The sequence below is a fragment of the Homo sapiens genome, chromosome 3 (genome assembly GCF_000001405.40).
Source record: "Homo sapiens chromosome 3, GRCh38.p14 Primary Assembly".
In the NCBI taxonomy this organism is placed as follows: domain Eukaryota; kingdom Metazoa; phylum Chordata; class Mammalia; order Primates; family Hominidae; genus Homo; species Homo sapiens.
In genome coordinates, this window is record NC_000003.12 from 24,529,328 (window position 1) to 24,557,136 (window position 27,809).

At 36.1% G+C, this 27,809-nt stretch overlaps 1 pseudogene; it reads left to right on the forward strand.

Annotated features, from left to right (window-relative positions):
• EIF3KP2 (eukaryotic translation initiation factor 3 subunit K pseudogene 2) lies at window positions 26,469–27,136 on the forward strand (annotated as a pseudogene).

A 27,809-nucleotide genomic window follows, 5' to 3' on the forward strand; every position in this document is an offset into this window, starting at 1 on the left:
TGGTTAAGATTACACATCTTTGGCAAGAATATCCCAGAGGTGATGTTGTGTCCTTCTTGTTGTAGACATCAGGTGGCACACAAGTTCAATTTGACCTATTACTGATGATGTTCACATTGACCACTTGATTAAGGTGGTGTCTGTCAGGCTTCTCAACTGTAAAGTTACTTTTTTGTCCTTCACAATTAGTAAGTGTTTTATAGGGATATGCTTTGGAAGTTAGCAAATATTCAGTTCTGCATTAACCTTGAATTTATTCATTTATTTTATCAATATGGACTCATGGTTTCCAGTTTTAGCCAATAGGTTATAATCAATGACATTATTCTTCATTTTGTTGCTTGAATTTATTCTGCTGGCCCTCCAGCTGGCTTCTGAGTTTTTTCACATGTCCTCATCTTTCTTTGCGTACTTCCTTGTTCTCTGGTACAACAAAAGTTCTAGGTTTGTCTATTATTTTCTCTGGCCCAGTCCTAGAATCAGTCATTTCTCTCTTTTCTTGAGTGAATGTCTTCCTCACTCGTCTTAGGCTCTGATTTCATATGGTAGGCCCTCCCCTTGTAGGGACCCCTCCTCACCCTGCTTTTACAGTTATTCACACATTTCCCATTTCCAATGCTCTTCATTCCCTTATGTAGATTTAAGTTTCCACCCATATCATTTTCTTAAAGCCTGAAGATACTCTTTTAACATTTCTTGTAGAGAAAAATCTGATGGTGGTGGTAAATTCTCTAGGCATCTGCTCATCTTGAAATATTTTTAGTTTGCCTTCATTTTTAAAGGATATTTTTACTAAATATATAATTCCCGGGTGACAGCTTTTTCCTTTCGGCACATTATAGATATCATAGCATTGCATTCTGACTTGCACTGTTTCAGGTGAAAAGTCAGTGGTAATTCTCACCGCTGCTGCCCTGTATGTATTAATATGTAATGTGTCTATTTTTTTCCAGCTTCTTTAAAATTTTTCTCTTTGCCATGGTTTTAAAATTAGATTATGAAGTATCTATATGTAATCTTTTTTTTCTTATTTTAAAAATGCTGCTTATAGTTAATTGAGCTTTTTGGTTGGTAGTGTTTTTTCCCTCAAAATTGGAAAAATTCCAGCCACTATTTCTTCAAAAAAATTTTGTTCTGTCCCCTCCTTCTGAAACCCTATCTGCCTGTATAATAGTCGGCTTGCTATTTTCCCACAAGGCACTGGTTTGTCAGAACCCCAGTGACTCCTGGCCTTGAGCCTCTCTAGAATCTCTCTTCAGCTCATCGTTCTCTGGCACTTGTTTTCTTCCAGACTTTGTGGAGTATTGTCCTCACATGCATGCCTTAGTATTCAGCTAATGACTAATGGGAATCCCTGGGAACTTTTGGGGAGTTTCTTCTTTTGCAGCATTTTCTGCTCTGGTACTCTGTCAGTCACTTCAGCACCCCTGAAGTCTAATCTCTCTTTCCTCGGTTCGGCAAGACCACCATGTTCTGCTTGGGCTCTACCCACCTGTGGTTTAGAAAGCACCTCCAGACAGAAAGCCAGGACTACTGTGGGGCTTATCTAGAAATTTCCCTTCTTTCAGTGACCATAACTCTGTTACCTGTTGTCCAATATCTGAAAATATTTGTTTCATATATTTTTTTTCAGTTTTATAGGTATATATGTGAGTAGCATTAATTTGATACCAGTAATGGTAATTTGATACCAGTGTCAATTTGATACCAGATATCACAGCCAGGAATGAACACTGGGTAAATTCTATAGTGTATTAGAAAGTGATAAATGCTCTGAGAAAACAATAGAATACAGTTAGGAGGCTGGGTAATGCTGAGTGAGGGAGGTACAAGTTTAAATTCCATATCAGGAAACAGGTATTATAATTCAGCATAAGTATAAGGAGAGGGTACTATAGGCGCATCAATGAAAGAAGAAGGGACACCTAAATGATCTAGGGATATCTGGGAAGATTGATCTGAGAAAGTCATATCTAGTCTAAGACCTGAAGGATTAGGAGCTAATTGGGCAATGGAATAGGGTGTGAGAGTGTTGGCATGTTTTCTAAGATACTGGAAACAACTTTTAAAAAAATTTTTTTGAGACAAGTTCTCACTCCAGTTGCCCAGGCTACAGTGCAGTAGTATGATCTCTGCTCACTGCAGCCTTGACTTTCTGAGCTGCAATGATCCTCCCACCTCAGCTTCCCGGAGTATCTAGGACTACAGGCACACGCCACCACACCCAGCTTTTTTTTTTTTTTTTTTTTTTTTTTTTAAGTAGTCTTGAGCCACCATGCCTGGCCCCTGGAAACAATATGTTTAAAGATCCAATGAGAAGCATTAAGAGCACATGGTGAGATTGTCAAATATAAGTAGTTGCCTATGTATGAAACAATTGTGCTGTAAAGCAGAGGCCGAGTCATTAAGGGCCTTGCAAGCCCTATTGCCAGGTTTGCATTTGTCATGGGTCATGGAAAACCATTAAAGGGTTTTATGCAAGCGTGAAACTTGATCATAATCTCTACATTTCCACATCTCTGTCTATAGAATGAGTATATCGAACATAATGGCATCAGTTGTTTATTTTAGAAATGATTCTACTTTTTAAATTGAGGGTTCAAGTTTTGTATCCATATGAAAAGCCAATGTCCACTGCCTAATAAAAGGCCTTGAAAAGATACTATTTTTCTGTCAGGCACGGTGGCTCACGCCTGTAATCCCAGCACTTTGGGAGGCTGAGGTGGAAGGATCAGTTGAGCCCAGGCATTGGAGATCAGCCTGGGCAACATGGCAAAACCCTGTCTGTACAAAAAAATACAAAAATTAGCTGGGCATGGTGGCACATGCCAGTAGTCCCAGCTGCTCGGGAGGCTGGTGTGGGAGGATCACTTGAGCCCAGGGGGTCCAGGCTACAGTGAGCCAAGCTTGTGCCAGTGCACCCCAGTCTGGGTGGAGCAAGATCTTGTCTCAAAGAAAAGAAAAAGATATTGTTTTTCAAACAAACTTGTGGACTACATATTTTCTGAAAGATAAAGTGATCTCAACATAAAAAGGAAATTGATCATGAAACTAAAAACAGAACACAAAACTTTGATTTCTCAATTATCACTATTAAAAGATGTAAAAGATTGAATTATAATAGAGAGTAGTCAATTGAATTATGATATTTATGAGTATATACAAAACTAGAAACAGTGAATAAAATGTTTATACTGAAGGTTTGGTAGAATCACAAAAGAGAGAAAAGGAAGAGAATAAAAAGGAAGTCAGCAAACGAGATATCAGTCTTTTTATTTCCATGCCAGATGGGCCAGATAGAAAAAAAAGTTTTTTCTTTTTTTTTGTATTTTTTTTCAACTCAATTCAACAAACATTTATTGGCTTTCGTGCTAGGTACTAAGGGAATGAGAAAAAAAAAGATGACTAAGACTGTTTTCACACCAAAGTCATTTATAAACTTGGGGAAGCAGATGCTTCTAATTATTTGTTACAAATGGCAGAATAAAATGAATGGGTTCCACCTTGAGCCAGGAGAAAAAAACATGTGAACATTTAACTACACGAGAAAGCACACAAAAATAAATGCTACAAGAGAGGTACAAACAAACAAGCTCCCATGGGAAACCCAGGGTTAACAAATTCTGACTTGAGGAGAGAGAGAACTTTCACAAAAGACAAAGGTTTGGACTGTATCAAAAGTTGAGTGGTTATTGGATAGTTGGACAGAGTAGAAAGGTTATTCCAGGAAAGGCATGAAATAATGGATGGACTGAGCATATCTGGAAAATATCATGTATTCTTGAATCATATGGTTTTTCTCTGTGTCCCCACCCAAATCCCGTTTCAAATTGTAATCCCCACGTATCAAGGGAGGGACCTGGTGGGAGGTGATTGGATCATGGGGGCGGTTTTCCCCTTGGTGTTCTCGTGATAGTGAATTTTCTGGAGATCTGATGGTTTAAAAGTGCCACTTCCCCTTTCCCTCTCTCCTGCCACCTTGTGAAGAAGGTGCTTGCTTCTCCTTCACCTTCCACCACAATTGTAAGTTTCCCGAGGCCTCCCCAGCCATGTGAAACTGTGAGTCAACTAAACCTCTTTTGTTTATAAATTACATAGTCTCAGGAGGTTCTTTACAGCAGTGTGAAAACAGACTAATAAATTGAATGACTGGAGTTGGGGGCAACAAGGTGAGATATATTTGGAGATGGTAGGAAATATTGCTGCCCTGGTCAAATCCACTTTAGTAGGTCATGTGCCTCTCCCCCAGCTGCAATGACTGTTGGCTGCTAATAAGATCACAGCTGTATCTTTTTTTTTTCAGAGCGCTGCCCTCAGCTGAAATGAGAGCCATCTCAACAGAAAGCTTAAATTCCCCCCATCCTTAGCCCATGGTCCGTGACACACTGTTGTGGTGTTATAAATGAGCAGCTCCCTTTGCCTCAAGATGGAATTAACTCTGCGTTGCAATTCATGCTCCGGTGCCCTCTGTGGAATTAGGCTGAAGCTGGACTTCAGCCAAGACTGCATCCTTGCTTAGTTCATTTTCTTGCCTTATTCTACTTTCCTGGATTGCCTTCTCCTGAGAGCACCTACTCCGCCAGTAAATCACAAGTACCTCCGTCTCTCCTTACAAGCAATTGGAGCTAAGATGGATTGAACTGGAAAGGTAGGTAGAACACAGGCTGGGGAGAGTCCCAAATACTATGCTAAGTTTAGATTTTATCGTCAAGGCAGTAGGGAACTGACTACGGAGTCTTTTTGAATGGGAGGAGAACTTGCTCTTTGAAAGGATAGCTCTGACAGATGAAACATTGCAGAAGTAGAATTTTTAGGACTCGATAGCTGGATATGAGATAGGAAGGAAAAAGAGAAGAAAAGATCGTCTTGAAAGTTCTAGTGAGAGTTGTTGAATTTGAGATGCCAGAGGAAAACCAATGTGAAAATGTCCATCAAGCAGTTGGAAATTCAACCTGTAGTTCATGCACAGGATTGGAATGTAGATTCAGGAATTATCACTCATTAATTTAATAAATGTTTATTTAGCATTGCTGTGTTTTACAAATATAAGGACAAATTAGACATTGTGGAAGACAGAGATGTTACAAATATTTCAACGAGAAGTGTTAATTGTGTAACACACTTAAGTACAAGATGGTGGTAGGATACTTTATTAGAACAAGTAAACAGTTCACTAAAGAGGCATAAACTAAATATCCAAAATCAATGGTTTCCTTCTGCATCTGTATCAAATACTTAGAAAGTGAAGTGAAAATTATCCCATTCACATTGACCACGAAAGTATCAAATATCTAAGAACAAGTTTAACTAGAAAGGTACAAGAGACTCTTTGAAAAAATATATAAAACATTATAGAGAGATGTAAAAAAAATTGAATAAATGTACAAGCAAACCATACTCCTAGATAGGAAAGCCATATTGGAACAATGTCTGTTCCAAGCTAATATCTTAAATTCAATGAGATTCTAATGGGAACTGCAATGGAATTTGGGAAAATCTTGTCAAATTGATTCGAACATTTTTGTTTTTTTAAAAAAAGTCTGGGCCGGGCGCGGTGGCTCACGCTTGTAATCCCAGCACTTTGGGAGGCCGAGGCGGGCGGATCACGAGGTCAGAAGATCGAGACCAGCCTGGCCAAAATAGCAAAACCCTGTCTCTGCTAAAAGATACAAATTAGCTAGGCATGGTGGCAAATGCCTGTAGTCCCAGCTACTCAGAAGGCTGAGGCAGGAGAATTGCATGAACCTGGGAGGCAGAGGTTGCAGCAAGCAGAGATCACATCACTGCACTCCAGCCTGGGTGACAGAGCAAGACTCCATCTCAAAAAAAGAAAAGAAAACAAGAATTTATAAAGTTTGTGATACTAGCATGAAAGCAGGTAATTTCAGGCAGCAGTATAACAAGTTCTATACAGATCAAAGAATATGTATCAATCTAATATATAAAAAATTTGCCTTAAATAAGTGAGGAGAGGACAGATTATTCAATAATTTGTGTAAGAATATTTGGCTCTTTGGAGAGAAAATAAATGTAGGTCCCCACCTATAAGACATATAAGTATATTGCGCATGTATTACGTGTTGTTGTAATATTATTCTTGTATTATTAACTTGGACAGGGAAAATGCCTTCTTGCAAGGTATGAAATTTTGAATCCATAAAGAAAGAGATATAACTACATAAAATTTAAATTTCTGTTATGTTATGAACTGGTACGGAAAGACAAGCAACAAATTGGAAAAATAGGTGCAACACATATAGCAGACCGATGGTTCATGTAGTTAAGATTCAAAGAGCTTCCGCACAGAAATAAAAATATACAATATAAAAATGGGCAGATTATAAAAATAGGCCAAAAATATAGATGGCCAAAAACACATGGAAAAAAACTTAACTTCATTCATAATTGCAGAACTAAAAATTAAAACGATGATTCCATTTTTTTTCTATTAAATTGGCAGTTTGTCAAAATGTACATTTAAAATTAGTAATTTGGCAAATGTATTATATTTATACACACAAACACACTTTTACCTTTTCATTGTTATTTGACTTTGTTTACTATATTTTTGCCTGTAAAAATGATAAAGTTTTATTATTTTATCAAATAGTTCAAACTTTGCTTGTTTGATTTCTGAGTTTTCACTTGTTTTCTTCTAGTTATTTTGAAGTTTCATCTTAACAAATTTACATCTTCTATTGGTCTGGAATTAATTTTGTTAAAAGAAACTTAGTAGTAATCCTGCTAAATTTTCCAGGTACTAGTCTATTTTAAAATACCTTTTGTTACATAATCCACCTTTGCTCCATTGGCTAAAAATGCCATCTTTATTATAGGCTAAGTCCTTTCACGTATTTGGATCTGTTTCTGGATTCAGTTCCATTATTATGTCTGTTCACTCTCCTACCAGTATAATACTATTTTAGGTATTGTGACTTTAAACTTTTTAAAATGCTGATAGTGCTTGTCTTTTCTCTTTACTTCTCTTTTTTCAAGTTTCTCTTAGCTATTTTTCACATATTCATTTTTTCCAAAGGAATTTCAGAATTATCCAGCTTCTTTCAGGTTTCTCCTCTCATTTGCAAACTTTTCAGTGTTTTGATTGGGTTTTCATTAAATTTAGAGATTCAGTTTTTGAGATTGCCTTTTTGGCATTTTCTGTCCAATGTCAAGATATATCTTCTGTTATTCATCATTTTTATTGCCCTCATAAGAAGCTTAAAGTTCTATGTACTACACATAGAACTTTTGAAATGTATTCACAGATTTTTGCTATTACAGATAGTACCTTTAAATCATTATATTGTCTACCAGGTTATCATTCGTATTAAAAAAAAGCTGTTGATTTTTGTATAATTATTTTGTAACTAATGGGTTCCTGCCAGGATCTTTTCAGCTCAAGGTTGTTGTTGGTTTTTTAACATGCAAATTTCTCAAACTTTAAAGATCAGATAATTTCAGTCCAAATAGACTGAATGGTTTTTTTAGAAAAAGAAGAAGAAACAATATCCAAATTCCATTTGCAAGGCCAGCAAACACTATTCCATAGACAGGCCCTCCAAAGGAAAGCACAGTTCAGTATTGTTTGTGAAAATTATGTCAAATGACTGAAAAAAATCTCATTGTTTCTAGGTTTCTTTCTTCTGTTGATGATCCTTAATTTTTTATGCATACTGGTATATCCTCTGCAAATGACTACAAGTTATACTTTGTCTGAATGCATTGTTTAGTACTTTGTGAGCAATAGGAAACTGGAATTTCTTTTCTTCTTCCTGACATCAAAGGAAAGTGTCCTCATTTTTCTGTATCAAACATGATGATGCTGAGATGACTATTAGTGTGTCAAAAAAGTATCATCCACTTCTATTTTGCTTAGAGTTCAATTTTATTAAACGTCTTATTTGACATCACTTAAAGCACTCATTGGAATTTGTTGTCTTATTAATATGCTATTTTATTTATTTATTTAGAGACCGGATCATACTCTCTTGCCCAGGCTATAGTGCACTGTTGTGATCATAGCTCACTGCAGCCATAAACTAGCCTCAAGTGATCATTCTACCTCAGCTTCCTGAGTAGCTGGAATTATAGGTATGAACAACTGTGCCTGGCTTAATGTGTTATTTTAAACAAATAAAATTCTTAATATTGAATCATTCTTACCCTTTTTCCCCACTTTTATTTTATTTTTATTATATTTGTTCATACTATATTTAGTATTTTTGCATAATTTCTGCAAGGGACATTGACCTAATGTTTCTTTTTGGTGAGATATCTATGTCAGGTTTCTTATCAATATTTTTCTATCTTCAAAAAAGGTAATTGAAAGGTTTCTTTTATGTTTTGGAACAGTTTAAATAGACTGGACTTATCTGATCTTTGAAGGCTAAAAAAGCTCACTTCTTAAAAAACCTATATCTGAAAAAATTCTGGCAGAAAGCCCACTAAAGGTAAAATGGCTGACTTCGCATATGAGCTTACCTGCGATTTTTCTCTTCTCCGTAGTTTTCTAAATTTGGGCAATTTTTGAAACAAACATTTTGTAGTAAATATGAGAGACATAAAGCAAGGAAAGAAAGAGAATGAGGGAGGTGGGGCATAGTTTTTATAGGATGAATAGTAGTTATTAATAGTAAAACTGGCAGCAGGAAGATGATTTAGGGAAATATTATAAAAGACCAGGAAAAAAAAAGGTAAAAATATATATTAAGGGAATGGCCAAAAAAGGAGAGAGTGAGCAGGGTTGATAAATAAAGCCTTGAGGCTGGATGAAATAACACAAGGAGAACTTGTAGAGATAAGAGAGAAAGTGGAGCTGAAGTTAGAACCCAAGGTCAGAGCCAAGCACATACATCCCATTCAATAGTTACATGTGGTATGTGTGAGTAAATAAACCTAAGAAAGATGTGACTAGGAGCCCAAGTCCCAACACCAAGGGGAAATGATCAGAGATGCTGGGAGAAAAGTGAGACGACACTGACTTGAGCCAGGAAAGAAGAGGACTTCCAGAAAGAGGAGATGGTCCTTAGGGTGAAATGCTGCATGGAGATCTTCTAGGGTTACCAGATCATTGGCATCTTTTGAGAGAGTAGTATTAAGAGAACAGTGTGGAACCAAACCATGAGTCAGTAAGTGAGTTGGTGGGAGAGGGGGAGAGGTTTTCAAAATAAGTGAAGGGAAAAAGAGATGTAAGTGTAACTTAAGCAGCATTAGGTGGAGGGAGGGATTTTTATAAAGGGGGAAAATTGTAGAGCAAGGGGAAGACCCTACGTTCTTGGCTAAAGTAGACTGGCTTTCTGTTGCTGTGGATTTTTTTGGCGACCCTAAATGCCAATTAGAAAGTAATTTATTTCATTTTTTACACTGGATCCAGCTGAATCAGTAAGATGACAAGAATAACTCAGGAACACATTTTTTTTTCTTCAAGATCTAAAAAGGTCCCCATACTGGTCCAAAATATCAGGGAAACAGTTATTTCTGGGCTTTGTAGAATTCTGATTATAAGCAGTCTATTTACTGGTGCACCCTTTATTTCTGTTTCCCTCTATCTTCTAAGCAGTACAATGGAAAAGTTATATTAACTCTTCCAAAATATATGGAACATTATCCGCATAACCTGAAGTTGAGATTTTACTCTCCTTATTGAGAAGGGAAAACAAAAAGAGGCACAGCTGTTTTGTTCTTGGAGAGCCAAGTTCTCCAGCAACTGTGCCAAGGTTCACCAGCCAGTTCCTTGTAAAGTGGTAGGCTTTATCTTGGCCTCTCATGCGGAAAGTGCCCTGCCTTTGGAAGTTGTCATGAATGTCACTCTGGGAAGTGCTGCCTTGGTCACTGACCTTGCTTAGGGCCTGGAAGTCCTTGGTTTGATTTGACAATTGGGAAAAGGCCAATCCTGCCCTACAGTATTTTCAGAACTTCACAAACACCAACAAATATTTTCTGAAGGATACTACTTATGTTTTGTAGGTGACCTTGTAGGTAAAACTTGTAAGTTTCAGATGCTATTTTTCCAAAAAGATAAAGTTATTCTATAGCCCTGTATAATTATTGTGAACACATTATGCTTGTACTACTATCTTATTTCTAGGAAATCGGGGACATGAAGCATATAGGATACTTGTAACATTCTTTTATTTCAAAATAATGGAATCACATTCACTGGAAAACATTGAAAAAATTATATGTGTATCAAAATATTAAGTATTTTCAATAATGATGTTTAGCAATCTCATACTCATCTTCCCTTTGCAAACATGAATAGTAAACTCAGTTTTAGGCTTATATGCTTCCCTGTGAGAGTTTTTTATATTTTAAAACCATATACTTTTTCATCACTAAGACCTAAATGAAGACCTTGTCTAAATATCTAAAAATATCTAAAAAGATTTAGATATTTTTTAAGACATTTGATTAATAGAATATAGATAAGCTTCATTTGAGGTACAAACATTGATAATAAGCAATTTGTCAAAATTTTGAGAAAAGCCAGGCTTCTCAATGAAAGCTCAAGAATGTACAGATCTCAACTAATATTTTTACTACAAAGACAGTTTTGTAAACCGATGTGTTCTGGTGTCACACTTTACTGTCGGAAACATGCTTTGAGTGGCAAAAGTAATAAAGATGCCTGAGAGATAGATTCCAGGAGCTCTTGTATCACTGAGCCCTCCCTCTTCCCTCCTTTTCTTCAGAGTATTGGAATCTGTGGCTTTTTTTTTTTTTTTTTTTTTTTTTTTTGGTCAGAAGGGTACACTTGTTTCTGGATTGCTGGTGTTCAACGGGCATCTTGTATATAACGCATGGCTATATATGGAGGCATTGCCCTGACTCCCAGGTAATGGGGCCACCCAAGTCTTGGAAGCATGGCCTGCTTATTTGGGAAGGGAGTAGGTGATGCAATGTATATGGGTGGTCCCTGTCTATCTGAGAGTGGTCTGTATCTGATATAAGTCCCCGGGCTTTTCTTCCTACTCAGCCATTGTTTTTACCACCAATGAAAAGAAGGCTGGAATTTCTCTTAACTCACTCTTCTCCAGGAGGGCTATGTTCAAAATTTTCTTTCAAAAGTTTTGTTTTTGAAGATACTTCTGTACTTATCAGCCAAGCAGAATTAAACAATCAAACCTGTTAGTGTGCATCAACAACTGAGGCCTGGTCCTGTAGAAGAAGGCGAACATTTGTTCTTTTATTCTGCATTTCTGAACGAGTGCCTACTATGAGCAAGGACAAGTTAAAGTTGCAGAGAGGCACAGTGATGAACTGTAAGGCATTCAGAGGAAGAGATGCAGTTACTGAACATACTAAGTGCCAGGAATTTGATGTTAATGTAATTAACATATTTAATATCCTCATTACATTTAATCCTCTTTGCAACAATGAGAAGCAAATATCATTATCCTTCTTTTCTACAGGAGAGAAATTGGGGGTCAGAGAGGTTAAGGTTTGAACAGAGTCACCATTTTTCATACCTGTGAGAGATACCGTTCAATAGAATACTCAATAGCCCTTTATGAGCCTCTTCTATAAGGGCTAGAAGTCTGGCACTTACTTTTCCAGCCAGCTTTGCATCTGGGGCTGGCCACATGACCTGAGCTCGTAATCAAAATGTAAGCAGAAATCTGGTGTTGGGGCCTCTGGAAAAGCTTTTGCAAATGCTTTCTGTAAAGATCCAGATAGTAAATATTTTTGGCTTTGTGGGTCGTATGATCTCTGTAACAACTACTCAGTCCTGCCCTTGCAGAATGACAGTAGCTGTAGACATTACAATACATAAACATGGCTGTTTTCCAGTAAAGTTTTATTTATAAAGAACAGGCAGTGGGCCAGGTTTGGTCTGCTGTTTATATATTTGTCCCTCAGTATTCTCAGGGGATTGGTTCTAGGACCCCTATCTATACCAAAATCTGAGCATACTCAAGTTCCACAATCAGCCTTGCAGAACCTGTGGATACAAAAAGTCAGCCCTCCATATATATGGGTTTCAGATCCGAATACTGTATTTTTGATCCTTGTGTGGTTGAAAAAAAATCTGCATGTAAGTGGACTCAGGCAGTTCAAACCCAACCACAATTTGCTGACCTCTGGTTTAACGGAATGGCAAGATATTGTTGAATAAAATAATTTGATTTTTAAATATCTGTCCATTTCATATTACTGCAACACTGAGCAGTTTGAACAGTTAGTAAAACATAATCCATGTAAAAACTAAAGTGATCTTTTGAAAGTACAAATTACATCATTTCATTCTCCTGACTAAAACATTTCCTTGCTAAGGCTCATATTCATATACAAGGTCTGAATTCCAGTATTTTTATCTTCCTAAGAAGTCTTTTCTATTGCTCATGATAAGTTTTGCCCCAACCTCACTATTCTCTCTCAACTACTTACCATAATAAGTAGTTGCATTTTCATTTATGTGTTTGTTTATTGAACATTTGTTTTACCCATTAGGTCTGGGACTATGGTTTTTGGTGTCCATATATTGCACAGCCCATAGAGGATATGCAATAAATATTTGTAAACTAAGTGAATAATGTCACAGAAGCATCCTGTCACCTTCTAGATATGAAATTTTAAAACACTTAAACAAATTACACAAGTAATGCATATTGATTGTTGATAAATTAGAAAACCAAGACTTTGTGAAGGAATAGAATTAAGATAAAAAGAGGGAAACTGCAAAGCTACTATGAGGCAACCAAAGAGCAGAGGACCTAAGACTGACTGACTTGGACTTGTGTCAATCTTGGCTGCCTCAGCACCAGCAGCAAGAAGGGCAAGGGAACTGTGATCATGATACTACAATGAAATAACCACATGCAAATTAAGTGAGTAGGAGAAAGAAGCCTCATGTGGTCTTGTCAACTCCATCTTGGAGGATGGTCTGAAGGAGAACCCTGGAGGTGTTCAAGCCACACAGAGAAGTAGAGGACAGAGGGAAAGAAGTTGAGCTATGTAAAAGGTGTAGAGCGAGTTCATGAACCTGAAGATGGAGCAGACTTGTCTCTCTGCTAATACAGCCACATTGTCTTACCTGTGGAGGCAGATTACTGACAAGCTAATGATTTATGGAGGGGTTTTAGGGGGTGACAAAACTGGGTTTTCTTGTTTACTTCTGGCTGACATTCATACATCAGCTTGAAATTAGAGCAATCAGGGCAGCCTGATCCTTAGATTGTATCCCTTCTTTCAGAGGGAAGTAAAGAAAGTAGGAAGGGAGGGAGAGAGGGAGAAAGGGGAAGAAAATGATCCATTATTCCTATACCAGTGATAACCAGTGTTAACATTTCTGAATATATACTTCCACATTTCTTTCCAACTCACAGATATGTTAGATGTACTTGTTAGAGATGAAAATTAGATTTGAGGTTGAGTAATGTTTAATGAATAGTGTCAACCTCTTTTTTTATCAAAGAGCCACTTAACCTTTCTATATTGTAGATTATCTATAAAATGTAGTTTGTGGACTAGAGAGTAAGAGAACGAATAATAAAGAGTTTTCACATTTTTTTATAGACAAGGCTCAGAGACATTAAGGGACTTGCTTGATATCGCATAGGTAGCAAGTTGGAGAACAGAGGTGAACTCAGTATGTGGGTCTCCAAATTTCATGCCTTTATTGACCTGGAAAGTATCACGGAATTCAGTGGTTTTTTAAGCTTGACTACATATTGAAATCAATTGGAAAGTTTTAAAAAGTCCTGATGTTTGGGCTCTACCCCTAGAGATTATTATTTAGTTCATCTAGAGGATGGCCTGAGATTCAGGATTTTTTAAACCTGTAACCAAAGTTGAGACCCACTGTTCTAGCTCTAAAATGTTGTTACATGACTAGAAAGTGATATTCAGCTTTAGATTTGGAAATAATTTCTGTTATTGATTGGTAAGTGTATAGAATATGTAAAGTTTATAAGCTCTACCATCTTACATAAAAGCACTTATCTTTTTCTAAAGACCTTTGAAGATAGTAAGTGTGCCTCTCCAACAATCATTTCAGGATACCTGACTATTAATAGCGATGCCTCCATGATTACTTCCTGTCAAATCAATCCATGCATTATATTGTCCTCTCTGAGCACTTACCTTTTAAGATTCCAGAAAGTTTGCCACAAAAACGAATTGTAATAATTTTACCAATGATCTCAATCTTCAGAATAAATATGGTGTCTCTTGTCAACCTAAATAACAGAGAGAGGCTCTCTATAAGAAAAGATATTTATTTCGGAATACAACATTGCAGTGGGAATATGCAGGGTATAGTAAACTATGTGCATATTCTTGGAAGTTAAAAAAAGACAAAGGTTTCTAAAGGAAAAAAATGAGGAGGATTACATATTTTTAAAAATAATAATTAGCCTTGGCTACAAAGATCAATATCAAGGGTGATGCCAGTCTGAGGTTGGACAGGCAGTTACTGGACAGATGTTCTTGTAGAAGTCTTTTTTGTGTTAGGTTGCAATGGCCTTTGTGCAAGATTGTAGTCTTTGCAGTCTTTATGATAGTTTTTGTTATCAGGCATACAAGCATGAGGACCTTCTCTTTGTGGCCTTCACTGGCTCTATTTGTCAGAGTTTTCTTAACATTTGTGACTCCGTTTTGATTCAGACAACTTTCACGCACTCTTCCTTTCCTCTCACACACTCTTCCTTACCCTTCACAGTGTCCTGTGTTGTTTTAGGACCCTTGAATACATATTGTGAAGTGCTGATGGAAGATGAATCAAGTAGAAGGGGTGATGGTATTCAGCGTCTACTGTTTTTTTAGAAAGAGGATTGAAGGAAACATATGTGTAAGACCCCTCTCTTTCATATGAAATTTGCAAAGCTGATGCTCTTTGACACCGTGGCTTCTCAGACTCTTTCTACATTGAAGAGACATATGACTTATTTTTACATTTAGAGTATTCCACTGCCTGTCAAGAGTACATTGGGGTTTCTGAATCTCAATAACTATTTGTTAAATGTTGATGATGGTGAAGGATGAGATACAAATTGTACTTTTTCCTGTATGTAGGCTCCCCTTATTTTGGGGATGTTGAATCCCCTTTGCAGGCTTTGAGGAATAGAAAGCTATTTATTCCATCACAAACTCCTGTCATAGATAGGAATCTGTGGGGAAATTTGTTGTCTCTGGGAAGAAGGAACATTGATTAGAGGACATAAAACTGAATTTATGATTGCTATAAAATATTTTTATTCTTTTAAATATAAAGGGGATAGTAGCTGCATTTTATGTCTGTGGGAGAATTGGGATTTTAAAAACCATATGAACAACAGAATTCATTTTCTTACAGAAATTACAGATTGGAGAGCTAAGACAAATAAAATACATATTTATTTTTGGAAATATGCATTTTGAAAATGTGGAGCATTTTATTTTCTTGTCCCATGAAAACTGAGAATGTTAGCATATCTATAAATGATGGTTCAGGGTATATGTACAAGTTTAGGTAGTTTCCCCCTAAATTTCTTGTGCTTTCTGAAACCTCAGAATGCGAACTTATCTGGAAATTGGGTTGTTACATATGTAATTAGTTAAGTTGGAGTCATACTAGAGTCAGGTGGGACTTTAACACATCATGATTGGTGTTCTTATAAAAAGCAAAGAGACATGGGGGATGATGGCCATATGAGATGAAGACTGGGGTGATACTGTCAAAAACCAAGGAATGTGTGAGGCTACAGATGCTGGAAGAGGCAAAGGAGGATTCTCCCTCAAAGGATTCAGAGGGAGCATGGCCCTGCCAACACCTTGATTTTAGACTTCTCCAAGAACTGAGAGAGAATATAGTTATGTTATTTTAAGGCATCCTAGTTTGTGATACTTCTTTATGGCACCTTAGGAAGCTAATACAGTGCCTAATCATAATGTTTATATTTTAAAAGTCCGGACAAATGTCTAAATGTTGGCAAGTGAGTTAGTTAATTGTGTTCTATCAATAAAATATTTTACGGCCTATAAATCTGACAAATATGTGTAGATTAGAGACACATGGAAAACTCTTTGCTAAGTAATAAATAGCAATCACCTGGCATGTGCGCAATGATTACAATCATATAAGAACCATATATTTATAACAGTGGAAGTTTAGAGTAAGACCTTGGCTTTTCCAGTTGGTAAAATATGATAACTATTTCTTGTTACTATTTTTTAAATAAAAATAATACATATTTGATATAAAAACTTTAGAAAAATTAGTGGCAAAAATAATTTGACATAAAAGTCACTTTTTAAAACTGACTTAAATTATTATTTGAACCACATTTTGTTCATGCATGTGACTTAATACATTTTTCTCTTTTGTTATTGATTTTAAACCTGAACTAGTAGCATATTTTATAAGATGAGACAACTAGCCCTTTAAAGAATTAGGGCTTGTGGAAGATCTATAGGTTATTTCAACTCCCTAAAATGTTGAACTTCCTGTAGAGTTAACAACAATGAAGTAAACAACGATAACAAAATAGAATTATGGCCAAGCAATTTAGGAACCAACAGACATAGAAGCTTACAGCTCATTCTACTTGTTTTTGTAGAATCTAAACAATAATTAATACTTCAAACCCACAAAAGGAGTGAGATTGGAGGGCTTGGCTTCTGGAGAAATACTTGCAGTGAAAGTTAAGAAGCTGGTGAAACAGCTTATTAAACTAGACCATCCCATATAAATACCATAGTCCGAGTAGTGATGAAATCTTGTTGGAAGCCTCCAAGTGAGATTTCAGAGCCTGGGTCAGTTTTCATTATACAACTGAAGTTGGCGCTTTTTCAGGCCAGCTGACCTCTTTTTGCAAGAGTGTGGCCCTTCTGGCTTCTCTAAAAATAAATATTTGCTCCTCTCTCTACAAGGACATTTTTGGAAATCGATTTGTCATTTTGGTGAGTCACAGTGGTATCAATGAATGGCAAATGTGGAGGAATTAGAATGCAATTTAACTTAATAAGGAAGCTGCATTATTGATCATACCCACATGAAATTCAGTTGCCATTTATTTGTAGAGCAAAACAGGAAATAATTATCTAAGCGAACCACTTATTAAGAATGAGTTTACATAATTATTACATCTACTTCACAAAACCACCAGTATTTAAAGCAACAAATGCTTTCTGAATTTTCTAAGATTTTTCTTCTTGGCAACTGGAAGAAGATGGACATTCGGGAGCCACATTGTGAACAGTCAGGTCGGCTACTTAACAGTTTTTCAGGAAAAATGCCATCAGTGAGAGAAGCAATCAAGGCAAAGGGTACTGTTCTAATTGTAAATTTGGTCTTCTTTCTCTACTTGGGAGGGAATCTATATGGCAGTGTTTTGTGATCATCAGTTCCGCCATCTTATGGATTAATCTCAGTAAAATCTCTTTCAGAGATTGTCTTAGAAAATGAAAGTACAGAAAAAATAAATAAAGCACTATAGGAGCAGAAGAGACAAAAATATTCATATACTTTTGTACACATTCAGCCTAATTTTCCAATATATAGTAAAAAGAGTGGCCTCTGAACTTTTCCAGGATGAAAGTCTCAATAGGATACTAGTTCTTTGGGTGATTTAGACTCTGGACAATTCTTGGTGGGCATATGTATATTCTGGAAGCCCTGGCTGAAACTGTTTGGCCCACAGAGATCTGACGAGGTGCATTAATAGGATTATTTCATCTAAAGGTTAACAATCCCCCTCTATACAAAGAGGAATCTAAGCATCATTCAAGAGACATCTAGGTAGAAATGGAATCTTGAAACTAAGGTTCTTGGTGTGAGAATGTATTTTTCATTTGAATAGCCCTAAAAAGAAATAGTTTCAGTCCCTTTACCTAATGTTAAAATGATTGTTATTTTTCTGGTGTCATTTTCTTCTTTTTCTAACTAGGCTAGATGCTCCCAAGAATACAAAGATAAAGAAGATTGCCTGCAGTTGCCCAGATGCCTGGTGTGTAACCTCACTGATTACTTTTTCCCATTTTAAAGATATTATTGCTTAAGTGGTGCTACCTTCTGCAAATGACACTAACTGAAACTTTATATCTTTTTATGAGGGGTGGTTTTAATTGATTGTCAGTAGAGACTGTTTGGAACAGACAAGTTCTAGGTTTTACATATTCTTCCAGGCTCACAGGGCATGAAAAAGGCCATTTCCTGTGAGTATTTTGCAGACTGAGGAATTATGATATTTTATTTTATTGCCAATTTCCAGAAAAGATGATTCTGGAACACATCTCAGTGCTATTAATTTTTTGTCCGAAAATTCCAAATGAAGCTTATTGAAAGTAAGAAACATAATTTTTAGGCTCTTTCTGAGGGTTATGGAACTTTTTTGATGTTCACCTTGTCTAACAGCCTCCAGGAGTGACAAAAGGCAATATATGTTCTTTTGACAAAGAAGATTGTAAGTGAGATCATGTTACTGATGGGACTTGGTCCTAACTCAGAGGATGTTATTCTCATCTCCAATAATCAAAGAGATAAAAATACCCAGGGAAGGGCATTTTGTCATTTAAGTCAAACTTAAGAATCTTCCTGTTTTCTTACTCTAAATAATTCTTGAACAATAGTTATGTTCGTATTTTTGGCTGGCCTATAAAGCAAAACATTGTAGGTAATGAATGTGGATAGACCAAATGATCTGTCCACAAACTGCATTCTTTAGTACTAATGAACACTATAATCAACAAAAATAGATACATATATAGATACATATATGAAAATAAATAAATGTCATATCTCAATTAGCTATTCTAAGTGGATGTTTTGAGGTTAGGGAATATAGAAGTATCCCAGGCTAACTAACATTCTCACATTGTATGTGGGAAATTTCAAGTTCATCATTAGCTAGTCCTAACCTGAAACATAATGATCATGATAATGAAAATGCCAATTAACATCTGTTAAGGATGTGGACCAAACAATGTGTCTTTCAGGCATTCTTTTCATCTTCCTTCTAGCTTTGAGAAGACTGAACAATATCTTCAGCAGAAGTAGAGAATTGTACATTTAATTGTTATTTATTTTATTCTAAACTATAAATGTCACTGAGAGAATACTGAAAATGAAACTAGATTAAAGCTTAAGAAAATATTTAATGAGTGATCTCATAGAGCCACTCTTTTAGTCTGTTCTATGATTTGCTGCACAGATGCTGTTGAGTGTCCAGGGTTCTGTGGCACATTTGAGCTTGTGCCAAATACCAAGGAAATATGAGCAAGTAGCTTCGAAGCTAATTTTGGTAAATGAGGGCACGTTTTAGAAATGAATAATCACTTCATCAAAATAACTTTATTTTACACACTTTCCCCTCATTCTACTCTTCTCCATGGACTAATGTATTGTTTGCTTTTTAAATTTGGATGGTAATTCACTAGTTAGATTGCTTATTTAATTTAGTGCTGCCAAAGGCATTGGTCCTACTTGACTCAAAATAACAAGTAACAATCAACAGAAGTTTAAACTAGAGTGACTACTACATATTATTAATTCATTGTGCCACCACTCTCCCAACTACTTTATAAGTATTATTCCTTTTATTACTCACAGCAACCCCAAGAGGTGGATACTATCACTATTGCTGTTTTGTAGCTAGGGAAACAGAGTCTCAAAGAACTTAAGTAACTAGCTCAAGGTCCCAAAGTCAGTAAAATGTGGAGATCCAGTACTTGAAATCAATTCTGCTTAACATCTGAGTCTAAAACCTAAGCTCTACATGGTATCACATCTTTGAAAGCAATACATGCAGTTCTTGATGTCTCTGGATGGTCTTTGCTATGGCATCTTGTTCTTTTTTTCATGGTGTCACTATCTTCTCTCATGTCTCTGATGATATCAGCAATAACTTCTTTAGAGTTGTCATTTCCTTGCACAGTCTCTGTTTTTTTTTTAGTTTACTCTTTTCTGATTGTTTTTGTCTCTAGCTTCCATGTTATAGGGAAGGTTTTTAGCACTAGGCATGATCAGAATCACCTAGGGAGCTTTAAAAAAATACTGATGTGTAGGCCACAACAGGCAAGTAAACCCAGACCTCTGCTATTGGGACACATTTCTTCATGGCTTACCAGTTGATTCTAATGTTCAGATTGGGTCAATCCTTGGATGTCTATATGTCTGTATTTAAGAGTGGAAGACCAAAAAGCTAATTGGGAAACAGGCCCACGTGGCTTAATTGGTGAAATCTATTTAGCATTTAAAAAAGAAATAATACCAATTTTACACAAAATCTTTCAGAAAGTGGAGGATGACAGCCCTATTCAACTCATTTCATGAAATCAATAACACCCTGATACCAAGGCCAGACAGAAGCATTAAAAATATACACTTAAAAAAAGATATAAATGTATATATACATGCATACACATCAATGCTCATGAACATAGACCCAAAGATTCTTAATTAAATGTTAGCAAATAAGTTCTAGGAATGCAAAGCTGATTTAACATTCAAGAATCAATCAACTAATTCACCATATTAACAAAGGAGAAACAATTATCATTTCAATAGACGTAAAAAGAGTTTGAAAAAATTCAATATCCATTTATGATAAAACATTTCATCAAATTAGAAACAAAAGGAATTTCCTTAATCTGGAAAAGTCCATATATGAAAAATACACAGCTAACATCATATTTAATGTTGAAAGATAGAGTACTTATTCTCTAAGGTCAGGAACAAAACAAGGATGCAGACTCTCACTACTTATGTTTAATGTAGTTTTGAAGAACCTAGCCTTTGCAATTAGGCAAGAAAGAAAATAAAGTCTAGTCGCAGATGACATGATTGATTATGTAGAGTATTCTAACATCTAGTCACAGATGACATGATTGATTATGTATAGTATTCTAACAAATCTACAAACAACACTATTCACAATTGTTGAGCTAACTTAGGAAGGTCACAGACTATAAAGTAAATATACAAAAATCAATTGCTTGCTTATACACTAAAAGCTAACCATAAACTCTTGGTATGAGAGTGGGGCCAGTTGACATTTAGTTTCAGTTTAGGATAGTCAGCTAGGTTGTGTGTTGGGACAAACCAATGTTAGTATTTTATATATTTACTCATGGGCTCGTTAGATTCCTCTGAGAAGGGTTTTCCAGTTGTCTCCCTGCAGGGTAAAGGTCTGGCTGCCCAGTGTCCTGAAGATGGGGAATTTCAGCATCCAGTAAGCATATGTTCAGTTCATGCCCATTTTTGGTTCAAAAATTATATTCTCAACTATGCTTGTAATTCCCTGTACAAAGTCCTTCCATTTGCCCTCTCCAGAAAATAAACTTACAGTCTTTTGCTAGGGTGAAGGAAGAGCTTTTGCTGAGCAGCATGGGATAGTAAAGAGGTTTTGAGAAAGTAACTGCTTCTTACAGTGCTTTTACCCAATCATTTTTCTTTTAAGTCCCTATTCCTTCACCCTCTTCCAAAAGCACCTGTTGCTGCTCATCTCTGAGTCCTTTGAGAGTTCTGTGGCATGCAACACGTTTGGTTTTCAGTGTTTGCTGTTGCTGACTCAGGATTTAGGCTTGCTGAATTGGTATTTGCTCATCTGCCCACTTTCTAGCTTACAGTATGTTTATTGCTATTCTCTCTTCCTCTGTGTTCCCATCCTTGTATGTCTTTTTAAAAAGCTTCCTTTCCATCTTTTTCATGAAATACCAAATGGATATTTCATGAGAAATTGAAATATCAAGATCACTGGCTGATTTAAAGGAATGACATTTTATAGAAAATTAAGTTACATGTTTTCTTATAGTAATGCATTACACTTACATAAGGAAAAATAATTAAGCATCTTATTTGTAGAGTTGAGAGTAATAGTGTTTTAGATGGAAAAATTCCATTTTGGACTAGACAATTTTGTTACCTCTATTTAAAACAACTCCAGTAAGAAAGCCAAAATATTAACTGGTTTGGTCAATATCAGTGAGGTACTTTTCACTTAATTCTGCCTGTTATATACCACTCATGTATACCTTACATTTTCATGGTAGTTTGAAAGAATTTTGGTATAATTGTAGCCATGGCCCCGAGGAAGTAAAAGCTACATTTTACATGCAGTGCTAATTATTTCAACAAATCTTAATTAAGTACTTACCTTGAGGTAGGCACTGTTCCTGCTGCTGGAATTGGAGAAGTAAACAAAATAGACCCAAATCCCTGTCCCTCTGAGGATTCTATTCTAGTCAGTAGACTTCTGGTATTAAAGTGAGCATAAAGGGCACCACAAAAGCACGTTCAGTGATTCCCATGGAACAGGGTCCCTCTGTTTATACATATGGGTATTTCTTATTATGTTATTGCTGTCTGTGTTCTTGTTCTTGACTTCCGTAGTAGATAGGAGTGGCAAATTGGATAATGATTTAACTATGTTGCTTTGTTGTTGCTATTGTTTGTTCATTATAGCATCTCTTTCTAAAGATGATTCAAAACAGATTTTCAAGATATATAATGTGTCAAAACAAGTCAAAGTCAGTCTGAGAACTGATTCAGAGTGAGAATATGAGTAGGAAAATAGAATAAAGCTGAGTGACCACAGTGTACAACATGCATGTCCTGAAGCCCTATTCCTTGCCAAGATGACACATTTTTCTGTGTTTTTCACAGGCATCTTAAAAATGAAAACATAATCAGTTTCCATGAATTAAAAAGATCGCCAGAGATTTAGTGATATAAAAATACAGAAAGTTCTCCTGTGGATCTTCATAAGGAGATCTTTGTTGGGAAATGTACCAAAAAATATTGTTACAAAAAACACAACCACCAGTTCCACTTGACTATTTCTTCCACATCCTTCCTGTAGTCCAACTACATTAGCACAAAGCATAATTTTGTAAGAGTTATTATGCCAGATATCTAAATTAGAAAAATTTGAAGCCAGGCACAGTGGCTCACGCTTGTAATCCCAGCACTTTGGGAGGCTGAGGTAGGCGGATTGCTTGAGCCCAGGAGTTCAAGACCAGCCTGGGCAAAATAGGGAGTCTTCATCTCTACAAAATAAAAATTAAAAAATTTAGCCAGGCATGGTGGCACATGCCTGTGGTCCTAGCTACTTGCCAGGCTGAGGTGAGAGGATTCAAGGCTGCTGTGAACCATGAATGCACCACTGCACTCCAGCCTGGATGGCAGAGTGAGACCCTATCTTAAAAAAAAAAAATAGAAAATCCCAAATATAGTCACTTGAAAAATATGTGAATTTTGCATTCTCCATGTAGTTATAATAAATATACTAATATTTGCAACTTATCAAATACTTTCATATGCATTTTCTTCTGAGACAACTTTAAGGCAGCTATCATATCATCATGATGCTGTATGTTTCAGTAGCTGGTTCTTTTTTTTTTTTAAAGCAGCTTTATTAACACCTATTTCAGATACCATAAAATTCACACATATAAAGTACACAGTTCAGCAATTTCTAGTATATTCAGTTGTGCAATTATCACCAAAATATAATTTTTAAAGGTTTTTAAACCCCCAAATAAATCTCAAATTATCAAATTAGCAGTGGCTCCCCATTCCTGCCTATATGCCCCCTGACCTTCAAATATGCCCTAGCTCCAGGTAACCACTAACCTACTTTCTGTATCTATATGGACTTGCCTGTTCTGGATATTTCACATAAATTGAATCATAATATGTGGTCCTTTGTGACTGGCTTCTTTCACTTAGCATAATGCTTTGAAGGTTTATCCTTTTTGTAGCATGCATCAGTATTTCATTCTTTTTTATTGCTGAATAATATTCCATTTTATGAATATATCATGTTTTATTTATGCAGTCATCAGTTGATGGACATTTGAGTCATTTCTCCCTTTTGGCTATTATAAATTATGTTGCTATGCACATTCTTGCAGAAACTTTTGTGTGGAAATATATTCTAATTTTGTAGGCTGTATACCTAGAAGTGCAACTGATGGGTCATTATCTATGTTTAACATTTTTAGTAACTGCCAAACTGTTTTCTACAGTGATTTCACCATTGTACATTCACAGTAGCAATTTACGAGGGCTTCAACTTCTCCGAATCCTCACCAATACTAGCTATTGTCCATCTTATTTGGCTATAGCCATGCTAGTGGGTATGAAGTGATAGCTCATTGGATTTTGATTTATAGTTCCCTAATGACTAATGATGTTGAGCATTCTTCCATGTGTTTATTATTGCCAATTTGTATAGCTTCTTTGAAGAAATGTTCATTTAAATCTTTACCAAGATCACAAAGATTTACTCTGATATTTTCTTCTAGGAGTCTTATAGTTTTAGGTATTACATTTATGTATATGATCTGTTTTGAGTTAGCTTTGGTGTAAGGCATGAAGTAGAGGTCCAAATCTTCTTTTGCATGTAGATAACAAAATTTACAGACAACAATTACTGGAAAGATAATTTTTTCCCATTGAATTATCATGGCACCCTTATTGAAAATCAATTGACCATAAAATATGAAGGTTTATCTCTGACTTCTCAATTCTACTCCATTGATTTTTATATCTTTTTTTTAATGCCAGTACAACATTGTCTTGATTACTATAGCTTTGTAGTAGGTTTTGAAATCAAGAAATGCACGTTCTTCAACTTTGTTCTTTTTTGAGATAGTTTTAGCTATTCTGGGTCCCTTACTTCCATATGAATGATAACATCAAACTGTCAATGTTTTCAAAAATGGGCAGCTAGAACTTTAACAGGGTTTGCATTGAATCTGCAGATCAATTTTGGGAGTATTTACTTCTTAACAATGTTAAGTCTTCTGATCTGTGAATATGGGCTGTCTTTCCACTTATTTGGGTTGTATTTCATTTCCTTTAATAATGTTTAATAGTTTTCACTATATATACCTTGCATTTCTTTTGTTAAATTTATACCTTGGTATTTTTACTCCTTGTGCTGTTATTTCAAATGGGATTGTTTTCTTAGTTTTCATTTTAGGATTGTTCATTGCTATTATTTGAAAGTACTATTGATTTTTAAAAGCATTTACCTTGTATCCAGTCACATTATTAAATTTGTTTATAATTAGTTCTTTTTATTTCAGCACAATATTCCATTATCTTTTTTCCTATTAAGGAACATTTAGATTCTTCCCAGTTTTCAGACATGCTGAATAATGCTGATATGAACAGTTTTGAACATGGGTTTTTGTGGACATAGATACTCATTTATCATGAATATATACCTTTAAGTGAAATCTCTGCATTATAAGCATTTGTTTAGCTTTAGTAAACGCTGTGAGTCAGTTTAGATGATTTGCTTTTGTTTCTATACTTTGGCTATATCAATAGTTTGAATTAATTCACAATGACTTCTAACTCATTAGTGACTGATTGGTATTTATAAAAATTGAGAAAATGGAAAATACTCCAAAAGACTTTATCATTAACGTGGTGAGTCTTAAGGTGTGACATTGATAGAAAGGTAAAACAAAGAATCAGAATAAGGAGAGGAGAATGTGTAGCTTAAAAAAGCATATTCAATAGATTTTGTTTTTGTAGCATAAACTGTAGAAAGTAAAAATTGGAAATTATCAGGGTGAGAAATCCTGATTTAGTGGTCATTTATAGACATGGTTAAAACAGAAATAACATACCAGCTCCTTCCTACCTGCCTAGTTTTAGAGGTCTGCCCTTTCCTCTACTATATAGCTATGTCTTACCTGAATTTGCCTTAAAATGCCGCATAAGAAGTAGTTAAAAGACAAAGTAATTTAACTTAAATGTAAAGAAATGAGTTTATAGAAGTAATTTAAATGCTATTTTCCCCACACTGTACCATCTTGATGATAAAAGGAATCAGAAATATGTAAAAAATTAATTCTTCCATTAACCAAAGAAGGGCAGTGAGGTTAACTTTTTCTTGTTTGAAGAAAATTCTAACCTGTTTAGGAGAACCTTGAATAGGTGGCCCAAGATCTTTTTACATGGGAACATAAAGAAAAAAATCATGAAAATGTATTTAAACTTTAATTTAACTAAAAATAGGTAAAACTATACATTTCAACATTGGCAGGATTTCGGCTCCTAATGAGAAATGAAAAGGAAGCCAAATTTGAAGAAAAATTGTTAAGCATATTTAAAGTTTGAGTAGTTTGTTTTGTGGGCACTTTATAGAACATTTTGATTTAGTATTTTTGGATACAGATGATGGATTATAAAGTTCTTTCTTTTAAAAGTCAACATAGTTAACACTGTAAAAGTTTAAAAGTTTTTTTTTAGTTTAAGGGCCTTATTTTTATTAACATCATTTGTATTTTTCTATACATCTTTTCTTAACATTTTCTTTGGTTATTTTAGTATACATGTTTATTACCTTTTCAATATGTTAAATCTATAATTCTGTCACCTTCCTTACTTTCCAACAACCTTTCTAGGCTCTTTATTGCACCTGGTAAGTGAAGACGTCTGGGTTTGAAACTCTGCTCTTGAACCACTACTTCCATTCATCTCTCCATTGTCACTCTTACAAAACCTGTTCTCTCTCATTAAAAAACTTCCCTGTTCCAGCACTGGTTGTGGAAGGTGACCATAGTCATAGTGATGTTTTAGTAGTTGAGAGTGAATGTGGGCAAGTTGCTCAACAATATCCACAGGTATAATTCTGAGAACCTGGCCTCCCTGGGGAGCTATGTGGAGATACAGGCCAAGGAGAATGCCTGTGATCTAGAAGCCAGCTTGACTGTCCTGAAGCTGTACTAGTTCAACCCAGCCTTCTTTCAGACCACGGTCACCACCCAGATCCCGCTGAAGGCCTTTACCAACCCATGCCACACCAGCTTCACCCTGTGCAAGCACATGGTCATCCAAGCGCATCAAGAAAAGCAGCTGATCCAACAGATTTTGTACCTGGGAGATCTGCTGGAGACTTGACACTTCCAGGCCTTCTGGCAAGCCCTGGATGAAAACATGACCCTTTTGGAAAGTATAACTGGCTTTGAAGGCTGTTAGAAAATTTGTCTCCCATGTCATGGATATCACTCAGCCGGCATATTTACTGCTGGCTGCTGGCTGAGATGCTCGGGGATTTGACAGCCAGCCAGCTGAAGATATGGATGAGAAAATATGGCTGAAGCACCGATGAGTCAGGGCAGATCTTCATCTGTAGCCAAGAAGAAAGCATGAAGCCCAAGAACATTGTGGAGAAGATTGACTTTGAAAGTGCATCCTGGCTGGGTGCGGTGGCTCACACCTGTAATCCCAGCACTTTGGGAGGCTGAGGCGGGTGGATCACAAGGTCAAAAGATTGAGACCATCCTGGCCAACATGGTGAAACCCTGTATCCACTGAAAAATACAAAAGTTAGCTGGGCGTGCTGGCACTTGCCTGTAATTCCAGCTACTCGGGAGGCTGAGGCAGGAGAATCACTTGAACCCGGAAGGCGGAGGTTGCAGTGAGCCGAGATCGGGCCAGTGCACTCCAGCCTGGTGACAGAGCGAGACTCCTTCTCAAAAAAAAAAAAAAACCAAAAGAAAGTGCATCCAGCATCATGGCCTCCTCCTAGTAACTGCAGGTTTTAATAAAGATTTGTTGACCTAGGAAAGCAAACAAACCAAAAATCCCTTCCCTCTCTTATTCCCAAATCCTCTAGCATCTACCAGAGCCTTGCTACTTTTTTTGTAAATCATTATAATTAATGTTCTTGATAGCATCACAGAAATAATTTCTCCTTTGACTTTCTAGCTTGTGGGCTTTGCTGATTCCCAACTTTTGGTGAACACCAAAATCTGTTCCTTCAGCTGTCACTTCTGGAGACTGAATTCTCCTGGAGGAAGTCACATAGTAATTTTGATTGGCTGAGTATTCCAGAAGGAAGCCATATGAACTTTCTGATTGAATTCTTCTG